This window comes from Homo sapiens, chromosome 4 (genome assembly GCF_000001405.40).
Source record: "Homo sapiens chromosome 4, GRCh38.p14 Primary Assembly".
NCBI classification, from domain to species: domain Eukaryota; kingdom Metazoa; phylum Chordata; class Mammalia; order Primates; family Hominidae; genus Homo; species Homo sapiens.
Genome location: NC_000004.12, coordinates 155,858,788 through 155,871,542, shown reverse-complemented (window position 1 = coordinate 155,871,542; position 12,755 = coordinate 155,858,788). Strand labels below are relative to the sequence as shown.

At 33.8% G+C, this 12,755-nt stretch overlaps 1 protein-coding gene and 1 long non-coding RNA gene across 4 annotated transcripts in view; one reads left to right on the top strand and one right to left on the bottom strand.

Annotated features, from left to right (window-relative positions):
* The window catches only part of LOC105377507 (uncharacterized), a 29,228-nt gene that overhangs the window by 12,419 nt on the left and 4,054 nt on the right, over positions 1 to 12,755 (bottom strand). The window contains exon 3 of one of the 2 annotated variants that reach the window (XR_001741901.2): positions 12,645 to 12,695. This is a non-coding gene — a long non-coding RNA (uncharacterized LOC105377507). Of the gene's footprint in view, positions 1 to 4,634; positions 12,696 to 12,755 lie in introns of those variants that run through there. The other variant, XR_939389.3, reaches the window with a different exon arrangement.
* The window catches only part of ASIC5 (acid sensing ion channel subunit family member 5), a 36,549-nt gene continuing 29,059 nt past the window's right edge, over positions 5,266 to 12,755 (top strand). For both annotated transcript variants that reach the window (XM_017008291.2, NM_017419.3), the window contains exons 1-2: positions 5,266 to 5,356; positions 7,789 to 8,095. In XM_017008291.2, coding sequence (XP_016863780.1) covers positions 5,317 to 5,356; positions 7,789 to 8,095 — 347 coding nt within the window. In that variant the 5' untranslated portion in view covers positions 5,266 to 5,316. The remainder of the gene's footprint in view (positions 5,357 to 7,788; positions 8,096 to 12,755) is intronic.

The window sequence follows — 12,755 nt, the reverse complement described above, 5'->3', positions numbered from 1 at the left end:
ATAAAATATTGAAATAATCCATGAGTCCACAAATACATTTAAAAACATTTAAAAATTAGGAACATCAGAAGATGACGTTCTTTTATACAAATGAGTGCCAACAAATAAATATAGAAAGAATGCTAGAAACTGAAAAGTCATCATCTTGAAACATCATAAAAGTAATTATTTCAGACAGGATTCATTGATTTATGCTAATAACATTGTGTGAAAGATCGGGAACAAAATACTCTAACCTAAAATAACTGCCTCTACAGATTACTTGTTAGTTACAAAAAGAAAAAGGTACATTTACAAAGTAGAAATTTTGCAGACATCTCCTTAATCAAGAGATCAAAATTACTGTCACCAAATATAGGAGAACCTGAGATCACATGCTTCCTGATATGTACACGCACTGTGAAGGATACAATATCACCTATGCATTATTCCTATTGTAGGTATTTGACCTGAACTTAATCATGAAGAAGAAAACAACTCTTAACTGAGAGGCATTTTGCAAAGCCTCTGAGATGGATACTTTGAAAATAGCAATGTAATGATAAGACAAAAAAATAAAAAAATTAATTAATGTCTAGGGAAATTTTCTGGATTAAGGGAGACTAATAGACATGCAAACTAAATGTCAGCTGTGATTCTTGATTGTGTTCTGGATTAGGAAAATTAAACATCATAAATTTAATTTGAGGAAGAATTTTGAAAATTTGAATATGAATTGCATATTACATAAAGTGCTGTATAAAAGTTAAGTTTTCTAAATGAGATCACTATATTGTATTTATGCAGGAGGATATCCTGCTTAAGAGATGGGAAGTTCATACATTTAATAATGAAGATACAGCAAATGTGGGAAAATGTTAAAAATCATTGAATTAAAGTAAAGTATATGTGGGTATTCCTTGTACAATTTTTGTAACTTTGCCATAAGTTTGTACTTTTTAAAATAAAATGTTTGAAAAATTACAATAATTTTCATCATAATATGCAATAAAAAGGACAAACTTCTTTTTTTGAAAAAATTTTTTTTGAGGCTGAATCTTGCTCTGTCACCTAGTCTGGAGTGCAGTGGTCTGATTCCAGCTTACTGTAACCTCTGCCTCCTGGGTTCAAGTGATTCTCATGCCTCAGCCTCCTGAGTAGCTGGGATTACAGGTGTGCACCACAAGGCTGAGCTAATTTTTGTATTTTTAGTAGAGATAAGGTTTCCCCATGTTTTCCAGGCTGGTCTCGAACTCCTCACCTCACGTGATCTCCCCACTTTGGCCTCCCAAAGTGCTCAGATTACAAGTGTGAGCTACTACGCCCAGCCCAGGGACGGACTTACTCACTCATTGAGCATCATTTTTCTTTGCAGTTGGATAGCTAAACAAACAAAACAGGCAAAAAGTCCTTCCTTTGTAGAACTTCCATTCTTTCTCCTTATTTCTGAGCTTCCATTGTTAAATAGATGAGGGTGGGGAATGATAATAAGTACTGGATTTGATATTTTGTAGTCTCTTTCCTCACTACATGGAATTATTTCAGATGCATGAATTTGTTTGCTTTGAATAGATATACCGTGGCTAATTTCTTCCACCTAGAGCTCTATAAAAATATTGTAATAAAAACACTAACCAACAACACTTATGCATAGTCCATAACAGAAATGGCCCTATTAGTTCTGTCTTTTGTATTATTACAGACCCAAAGCAAGACACCACTGAACTATTTATTACTTTAAAAACATTCTAAGCTGTGAGGTTGCTTTGGTTTTTCCTTCTGAGATTAAGAATAAAATATCTATTTCAGATTTTTAAAAAAGCATTCCTTAGATTGTCTTTGTTTGCAGGCCTTGTAGGCACTATCTTGTTTGTCTAAATCTAAAAAGATTAATTATATCATTATTAATGGTCATGTATCACCAACAGAAAATAAAATATAAAATTTTAATTTAAAGCTAAATTAAAAAGTATTAGTCAAAGATTTTTTATACCTTTAGATATATGCCAATTTAACAGAATCAAAATTTGTATTAAAACACATAAGACTTTTTAAAAATAGAATTAACAGGAAATATTTGACTAACACATATTTATGTGTCTATATAACTGGTAATGGGTCAGAAAGAATATACTCCTCTAGACACTGCATATTGTTTTTAATGTTGCTTAGGCTCTAATTTCAAATGCAGGGTCAGATAAAAGTTGGTTGCATTGTTTTTCTATGCATGCTTTTTAATTTCATCCTTTGCATTTATTAACACTAATAGGTAGTTTTTTTTTCTTGTTATTGTTGATGCTACCTGTTCAGAGGTATTGGATAATAATTATTCAGAACTCTAGATTTTCACTGGGTTTTGTTTTGTCATGTAATTACCTACCTTATGTGTGTAGGTATTTGGGTGGTATGGGAGAGAGGAAGAAAATTTGAAATCTATCTTTTTAAATTTTTTTCTTATTTTTTTTTACAAGTCCCTCTCAATGAAAATCTACCTTTGTCAAACACATTTGCTATTCAAAACAACTTTAATGACCAGATGAAGTAGAAGGAAGGAAAGTGGGCACTTCCATATTTGTTTTTAATGAGATATCTTAGAAAGTTAAGGAACTTGAGGTCACAAAGGAGAAGCAAGGTATAACTGTGAAGAGGATACTGGCTTTGATTTCAATTAGGGGAGATGAAGGAAAATGGAAGGAGATTTCCTAACTCAACAGAGAAGATGGAATTTAAATTTACCAAAATCAGTAATAAGGTAGAAGTGAGAATGAAGTACTTTCAAAGCTAAAGACAGAAGGAGAAAAGTGTTTAAAAGCTAATTTTAAAGTAAAAGAGAGATGAGGAGTTACCAGATTTGTGTGAGAAAGAGCAAATACATTTACTGTTTTTAAATATCATAGAAGAGAGGAACAAATTTGAGTAAATAAGTTTAAGAAGAAGCTTGCTTTCCCCTTATTATTTGTTAATCAGCAAGATAGTGGGGAAAATGTCTTCAGGACATGTCAGAGACCTTTATGGCAGCCCCTCCCATCACAGGCCCAGAGGCCTAGGAGAAAAAAATGGTTTTGTGGGCCAGGACCAGGGTCCCCCTGCTATGAGCAGCTTAGGATCTTGGTGTCCTGTTTCCCAGCTGTTCCAGCCATGGCTAAAAGGGCCAAGGTACAACTCAGGCCATGGCTTCAGAGGGTGCAAGCCCAAAGCCTTGGCAGCTTCCATGTGATGTTGAGCATGTAGGTGCACAGAAGTCAAGAATTTAGATTTGGGAACCTTCACCTAGATTTCAGATGATATATGGAAACACCTGGATGTTCAGGCAGAAGAGTGCTACAGGGGCAGGGCCCTCATGGAGAACCTCTGCTAGGGCAGTGCAGGAGGGAAATGTGGGGTTGGAGCCCCCACAAAGAGTGAGAAGAGGGCTGTGAGAAGAGGGCCACTGTTCTCCAGACCCCAGAATGTTAGCTCCATCAATAGCTTGCACCATGCACCTGGAAAAGCTCCAGACACTCAATGCCAACCCATGAAAGCATCCAGGAGGGGGGCTATACCCTGCAAAGCCACAGGGTTTGGAGCTGCCCAAGGCCATGGGAGCCCACCTCTTGCATCAGCATGACCTGGATGTGAGACATGGAGTCAAAGGAGATCATTTTGGAACTTTAAAGCTTAATGACTGCCCTATTGGATTTTAGACTTGCATGGGCCCCATAGCCCTTTTATTTGTGCCAATTTCTCTCATTTGGAAATGAGTGTATTTACCTAATACCTGTACTCCGTTGTATCTAGGAAGTAACTAACTTGCTTTTGATTTTACACACTCATAGACAGAAGGGACTTGCCTTGTCTCAGGTAAGTCTTTGGACTACAAAATTTTGAGTTAATGCTGAAATGGGTTAAGACTTGGGGCACTTTTGGGAAGACATGATTGGCTTTGAACAATGTGAAGACATGAGATTTGGCAGGGGCTAGGGGCAGAATGAAATGATTTGACTGTGTCCCCACCCAAATCTCATCTTTAATTATAGCTTCCATAATTCCCATGTTCTGTGGGAGGGACCCTGTGAGAGTTAATTGAATCATGGAGGCGGGTCTTTCCCATGCTGTTCTCATGAGAGTGAAACAGTCTCAAGAGATCTGATAGTTTTATGAAGGGAAGTTCCCCTACACAAACTCTCTTGCCTGCCTCCATGTTAGATGTAACTTTGCTCCTCTTTCACCTTCCACCATGATTGCGTGGTCTTCCCAGCTATGTGAAACTGTGAGTCAATTAAACCTCTTTCTAAATTACCCAGTCTTGAATATGTCTTTATCAGCAGTGTGAGAACAGAATAATACATAATTTAACCCTAAAGAAGAGCTCTTTAATGGAGAAATTCATATATCATGAAATTTATCCTATTCCTGAAATCTTTACTGTGATAACTGAGGACCTCTAGCCAGATTCCTTACTTACATCACTTGGAATTAGTTTGCCTCCGTATAAGACTAGTTTGAACTTATAGTGCTGAGTTTACAAGTTTCCAAATATATGCAAAATATACGTAATCATACTGATGATTAATGGTGAGATGCTTATAAAATGGTGAGTCTAACAAGCTCTATTAGGTACAGATACATGCAATCACTGAATTCTGTCAAGAGATGATGCCCTTTATGCACAATAATGCACATTCTTCCATTTATTATTCAATATAATAAATTCTAACAATTTTCCAAAAGTGTTCATATAAAAAATAATCAGACTTTATGTTTTAGTAAGTTGTTTGTTTTCAGTAATCATTTATTCTTGAGCAGATATTTTTTGGTGTTTTATTTTGTCATGTTTATTGGCTATTATTTCTGTTAGAAACAGCTTCTGTTACTAAGAAAGAAACACCGACAAGGGAAGACACCTTTCCCATAAAAAAAAATTTATTCCAGCTGCGTTTTGATTTGAAGTTGAATAAAGACAAAGGTAAAAAGAAAAGCTAAGAAGACGTTCCCGGGTGAGTCATTGGAGTGTCAACTAGCCTGGTCAGGGGCTGCTGCTTAACTACACATATTTGATAGGAAGTGTCCCTTTAACTGTGAGAAAATGGTTTCCTAATGATACTTTTTGCTTTTCACTCATGAAATCACTCTGGGTTAGCTTCTCATCAGTCCATAAATGCCCATACCTGGTTCTGTCAACATTTTTGGTTTTCAGATTATGTGCTTTATGAGGCAAAACATAGCAACACAAACATTTAAATTGCTTCCATGTTTTACAACCTCAACTGCTGTATTTTATATAAAGGGCACAAAATGAATACTGTTATTGATGAAAATTGGGTTACCCTGAGGACTCTTGCTTAACTGAAATCACAAATGGAGCAGACAGAAAAATCAAAAGTATATGCTGAGAACGGTGAGTAAAGAGTGAACTCCTCAGAGCAGTAATATTTTTCATTTCTAGAGGCCAGAAGTAAGAAAAGAGAGATTTTTTTTCTTCATTTGGGAAATTTGATTTCCAATGTTACTTGAACACAATATAAGTAATATAAGTTTTAAAAATGAATAGTTTTACTTAGAAAAAAAGTTATTTGTATGAGGGACTCAAAAATAGTTTTAAAATATTACTATATGCCAGAATCTGATTTTGTTTCTTTGTTTTGTTTTATTTCTTTTGGTTTCTATTTATCCTGGGCCTGCAGGTTTTATTTTTTAAATGTAACAAAGCTGATTTGATGTTCCTCAAAATGCTTCTATGTTGATCAGCACTCAATGCAAGGTCTAGTTGTCATAATGACACTGTATATACTCCAGTCAGGAGAGTAAGAAGTTTCTGCTTTGCAAACTAGTGGGCCATTTATTCAACCAATTTTAATCTTCCTGACAGTCATACATTTACCTAAAACAATAATAAAAAAAACTCTATTAAAACACTAGAAAATAGTTGGTATTACTCCAGAAAGGCCAAACCAATTGTCAAGGATTAGATGTATATTAAATGGGCTGATTTTTGACAGGCAAACTTGAAAGTTAAATGTTTTGGGGTAATGCTTGCAACTAGCCACACTTTGCTTGTCAGTAACTAGTTACTACATTAGTCTTCCCCTTCTAATAGTTTTGATCCCTATTCTAGGAATGGTACAAGTTATCCAGAGACTGAGTTGTTCTTTTATCAGAGTAAATTCTTCGCATATGTTTGCAAGTCATGACTAAAGAATACACAAAAGAGCATATTTAAATATATTTTGCTAATTAGTAACAATAACTTTTTTCTTGTTTCTGATTTTTCTCTGGGATTATGCCAGTTACTTGATACATGTTCATTAATTTTATACTAAAAACAACATTAATAACGGTGCTATTCTAAGATTTTAGTCCAACTTCAAGCTAATCATATTAATACAAGCTATCCTGCTTAGTGAATAATAATCATAATATAATTTGTAAAATAATAATAATATAATTTGTAAGTGAATGAAATGGACTCCCTTAGAAAATGTTAATAGACACCTTTTTATAGCATATGTCCTATAACTGAATAAAAAGCTTAGCTAATTGATTGGTTATTTATGTTGTATTAAATAATGATTTAATAGTAAATGAAGCTTGAAACATCTTGTAAGTAAATTAATGCTGGATAGTTGAATACCTATATTCCAAAAGTATTATTTTGGCAAAGGATATAAAAGTTAATTCACCTAATTATGAACATATATAAAGCCATTAAGAACTAATTTTTTAAGATACTTTTAAAGCTTTTTAAAATTCCTGAATATTTTACTATTTACCACATCACCACTACATTAGCAGAATAATAAAAATAGCTAATACCCTTGAGTACTTATTATGATCTAGATAATGTGCTAAGCTCTCTCCAGGTATTATCAACAAATTTAATACAACAAATTCATAAGGCAGATACCATTGCTGCCATTTGACAGAAAAGGTATAAGACTAAGAAACTTGGCTAAAGTTGTGCAGGTTATAAGAGGCGAGGAATGGACCGGAAGCCTGATCTTCCATTGTGAAGCCCATCTCATGCTCTTAACTATATTGAACCTTTCCCTCCACAAAGGGATTCATTGCCTCTTCTCCTATGAACAAATGGAAAGAAATTTAACCAAAATAAAATTGTCAACATATCATATATTGCCAAAAAAATTTAGTGTTACCTTCCCTGGTTCTTACCAATGAATATCAATAAATATTATTGATTGATTCCTGATAGACTTGAAATGATGAATTAATTCCATGAAGAGGTAGAAAATAGATTACTTAACTAATACTACAACTGAACACTGAACATTCTGACTAAACAACCAACAAAATATAAAATAGTTGTACATTAAAGAATACGAGAATGAAAGTTACATTTACCATAAATTATACCACCATAGGACAAACATTAGTTAAGAACAGATTACTTTTAGCCATACTTAGGACTGTCAGAGGAATCAGCCTCATTTTGTTCATGACTTCTAAAGGACTTTCAGAGAGAAAGAGCATTTTAAAAATAAGAGTTAATATTTAAAGTTTATGAATTGTTGTAACCAACTTGGTTTTAAAGCTGGAAGTCACCTATTAATACCATACCACTAACACATTTACATTAATAATAGCCGTTCTATGAATAGCATTAGCATCTTCTCAATAAACCCATGTAGCCAACACTTACACTTCTTGATTCCTGAATAAATCATGCAACAAAAGATGAATTTTTAGTTTCTATGAATTACAAGTAAAAAGAGTCACCTCTTTAAATTATGTGAGTTGTGTTTTTTTACGGATAGCATTAAGGTTTCCTAATTACTTTTTTTTGTTTAATCATTTTATGGGCAAAACCTTAAGGACTCTTAGAAAAGATAAAGCTTTGCCTTTCAAAGAAACCACTGCCATCTCCCACTGAGCGAAAGAAGTTTGACCATGACTTTGCCATCTCCACTTCCTTTCATGGGATACACAATATTGTTCAGAACCGGAGCAAAATTCGCAGGGTGCTCTGGTTGGTGGTGGTTCTGGGCTCAGTCTCACTTGTGACATGGCAGATCTACATTCGCTTGCTCAACTACTTCACATGGCCAACCACAACGTCCATTGAGGTTCAATATGTGGAAAAGATGGAGTTCCCAGCTGTGACATTTTGTAATTTGAACAGGTAAAAATTACTTTTTTAAAAATAATTAGTTCCTATAAATTTGCTAGTATAATCTTTCTTGGATGACTGACAAAGAGTTTTCTCATGTGGAACTTATCATATGTAAAACCACTGAATTAAATTGCACTTAAATTGCACTCAAAAGCACAAATTTAAGGGAGCAAAGAATTCATTAATTTCTTCTTTCACTTATTTTCCATCTTTTCTTCCTTCCTTCCACAATCATATTCTAGGTAACATCCCAAATCCTATCATTAAATAGATGTAAAAGAGATGGGGGTTTCACTACATTGCCCAGACTATTCTCAAACTCCTAGGCTGAAGCGATCCACCTGCCTCAGCCTCCCAAAGTGCTGAAATTATAGATGTGAGCCACTGTGCCCAGCCAGATGTAAAGTCTTGATCCCTGCATATTAGAAGTTCATTAATTAGCAGAAAAGAGAAACATCAACAATCATAGTGCAATATGGTAATTGCACAACAAAATAAAACAATGTGCAAGGGCTCTGAAATCCCACAGAACAGATTAATAGTCTCCATCTTGGGTGTTATGGAAATCTGGGTATTAAAAGATGATTACAGCTTTCTAAGTGGAGATGAAGAAGAAATGGAAGAGGGAACTACTTTGCAAACACATAACGATATAAAATGTTCTGGTGTACATATGATGAGCTACTTAATGTAGTAGAGGCAAGGCCAGCTCCACGGGTCTGTGATCAGTGCGGCTGCAAAGAGCCCTGAGCTTAGAAAAGGGTTACACTTGATTCAATGCTCTACTGCCAGTGTCTTGAGTCCTTGACTGCAACTCATTCCAGAAACCTGCAGTCCATTGACTGTACACCAAATCTGCTAAGAGGAGGACAACTTTCCACCACTAGGCTTCCAGACAATGCTTTGTAATTGCCTGTGGTGAAGCATGAAATACCATACATAGGATTTTTGCTGAGGAAGGGAGGGCTTCTTAAGACTCACCACTTAGCTATTAGGGAAGTCACTCAGCCTTCTTAGTGTTAATTTTCATATTTATAAAATGAGATAATATCATCTACTTCACATATTTGTTGTTACATTAGATAAGGTAATAAGTACTCCATTGTGTTTCATTCCTGGGGGACTTCTAGAACAGGTGTTCAATATATAATAGATGTTATAGCCCGTTTGTATGATTGTCAATATTTCAAGAACTCAAGATATGTATCAAGGGTCCTAACAGTCGAAACAAATCAATCCTTTCCCCCCAAAAAATGATTTTCAATACTATTGCTTCATACTGTTTTAAGTAGCATGTGTTCTAACAAAAACAGAGATTGGTTGCAGTTATCCTTGACTGAAATAAAATGTAGATATTACTTCCAGAATGGCAAAGTGAGGAAGTCCATAAACTCTATCCCCTTCAAAACCAACCATAACTGGTGAAAAAATATTTATCTTAAAAGGCAAACTTTTCTTTTAAAAAAGAAACATTTAAATAGTATCTCCTCAAATTCAAGTCTACTGGAACCTCAGAATGATCATATTTTAAAATTGGGTCATTACAAATATAATTACATAAGTTGAGGTTATACTGCACTAGGATGAGCCCTAAATCCAATGACTGAAGTTCTTATAAGGAGAAGAGAGAACACACAGAGATACAGCAGGGAAAATTCATGTGAAATAGAAGCAGAAATTGATAAGGTTTTGCCACAAGCCAAGGTATACTTAGGACAAAAGGCATAAGACATAGAGAAAACAAAAAGTAAAACGGCAGATGCAAATCTAACTATATTACTAATGAAATTAAATTAGAATGGATTAGACAATCCAATTGAAAGGCAAAGGTTATCAGAATGGATTTTTTTAGAAAGATCCAGCTATATGTTGTGTGCAGGAGACACAATTTAGATTTGAAGATGCAAATGGGTTAAAAGTAAAAGAATGGAAAAAGGTATGTCAACCTTCAGAAAGCTAGAGTAGATATCCTAATCTCAGACAACATAGACTTTAAAGTAATATATGTTACCTGATATAAAAAATTGTCATTTTATGTTGAATAAATGATCAATCTATCAGGAGATATAAGTTAACCTATATAGTTAGATTTTTCAATACCCCACTTTTAGTAATCAATAGAACAACTTGACAGAGAATAAACAAGGAAATAGAAGACACAGAAGACTTAAACATCTTTATAAACCTACTAGACTTTGCAAACATCCTTAGAACACTCTACTCAACAATAGCAAAATATGCATTCTTCTCATGTGCACATGGCACATTCTCTTAGAATGGACCATATACAAGGCCATATACAAGGTAAAGTAGGTGGAAAATATTTTAAATTATTCAAATATGTTTATCAATCACAATAGAATAAAATTAGAGGTCAATAATCAAAATTAATTTGGGATATTCACAAATATGTAAATATTAAACAATGCACACCTAAATAACAAAGAAGTCAAAGAAGAAATCACAAAAAAAATAGAAAATACTTTGAGATGAATGAAAATGAAGACACAACATACCAAACTTTTGAGATGCAGCTAAAACAGTGCTTATAGGGAAAGTTGTAACTGTAAACAGCTAAATTAAAAAGAAAAAGAAGTCTAAAAATACTTAATAGCCTATGATCTAAGTACTTTTATAATTTTGGGTATGGAAACCTAATCCATTTTGCATAGCTCAAATCTCAAATCAATGATTACAGCTTTTGTGTTAGATGACATTGAAAAAAAGATAATATATCCTAGTTCAGTTAGATATAAGTATCCAGACCAACAAAAGAAGATTTAATATTTTAGAGGCTATAATGATAGAACAGGAAAATTCTTAATTATAAGAAAATTATTCTTCCTTAGGGAACAAAAAATTAAGACAATATCAGTTTACAGGCATGAAAGGTATCTCCAGCTCCCAAAGTATAATTTTACAGAAAGATAATTTGGATTCCCACTTTAAACATTATACTCAGCATTGCTCAGCAAATTAATGACAGATCAGGAAAAGTACTCAAGCTATTTTCTAGTTCTCAGAGCCAATGATCTTCAAATATTTTAGTTAATGTGCTATATAAAAAATTTGAAAAACTGTGTATTTAACTTGCATATGTCTACATTTTTAGCCATAACCCTAAGTATATTTATTTATTATTTTTAGGAGGTGAAAAATATTGTATTTTATATCAAATTATATTATCACAAACATAAGTATTATATATCATTATATTTATGAGATAAAATAGGATAAGGATTTACTGTAATAGGAATAAACATTTCATATATTTTCATGAAATTTTAACTGCTTTATTGACTAAAATACACCAGTAGAAATCATTTAAATTTTTATCTGTGGATTATATTCAAATAACCCAAAATGTGGAAGCCTTAACAAATAGTCTAGTTACATTTAAAATAACAACTTTCATTATTCTACTTAAGACTTTGTCAATTCAGTCTTAAGCAAGGGCCAAATACCCTGTGTCTAACGCAGAACTTCACTCTAGCTACAAATATGTGTATGACAAGCCAAGACAAGATTTTAGGAGCTTTGATTAATTTTTAAAGGAGTCTTCCCCTGAAGCAAAATACAATTTGTATTCCTATGTTAGGAGCCCTGAGGTTGTTACACACCAGTATGCATTCTGTGTTAAGATTTGTGATGGGTGACAAGTTAATACTTTTCTATATATGGGAGAAGAACCATTGTAAAAAGAGGATGGAAACATTTATTTCCTTAAAATTCTCTGTGCAGGAGAACACTCAGACATAGGCACATTCTAGTTTGAAGCCCATTGTTCTAAGTTGCATTTTCTCTAATTCTTTTGAAAAAAAAGTAAAGCTTAACACTGTAATTTAATTAGAGTTTACCAAGTTAGAAACTGGACAGGTCTGCTGATAGATCCCAATTTCTATACTTTTTTTGTTTAACCACCTTGTGAGTAGAAAATGGACACCTGAGATGAAGAAACTTTGCCAAGTGACTTTGGATTATAAGAAAGGGTTTACTTTTCACAATTGGTACCAGGACCCTATACCAAGTGTATGTCAGAGATCCCTTTTTAATACTTCCCTCCTCTATATGACAAAATTTTTTTGGTAATAGTCATGAAATCAAACAAATAATGAAAATGGCCTATATATTCATGTCAATAAAAATGTTAAAAAATAAAATAAACAATACAAAAATAAGAAAAAGTAATGCATTAATACTTTTTGGACACTGACATATTTTTGTTTTTTAAAGTTTTTAAAATCTGTTCCAGTTGTGAAAGTAAAATAAAATCTCAGGACCCCCAACTCACGATGCCAAAGGGAAAAGTTAAGCTTGGGAACTGCGTCACACACAACTGCTTCCCATTTTGTTCCTAAATAGATAACTGCAAAGATAGAAGGCACATACCTTCTCAGGGGCCCTCTCTTACAATTTTCTCACAGAAAATCTCCTGCGGGCCCCAAGATCCTTACTGTAAAATGAAGTTGTACTGAATTTCACCCTGAGAATATAAATCAACAGCTTATCTTCACAGGTACAGGACAAATATAGAACTAGAAGTCATCCCTCTACTCACCTGAGGCAAATGCGTATTTGACTTCTTCCTCTGGTCTATGTTTACTTTATCCTATATAAAAATGAAGATTCACTGAGCACCAGACAAACACATAGTTGACTATTCTACTAC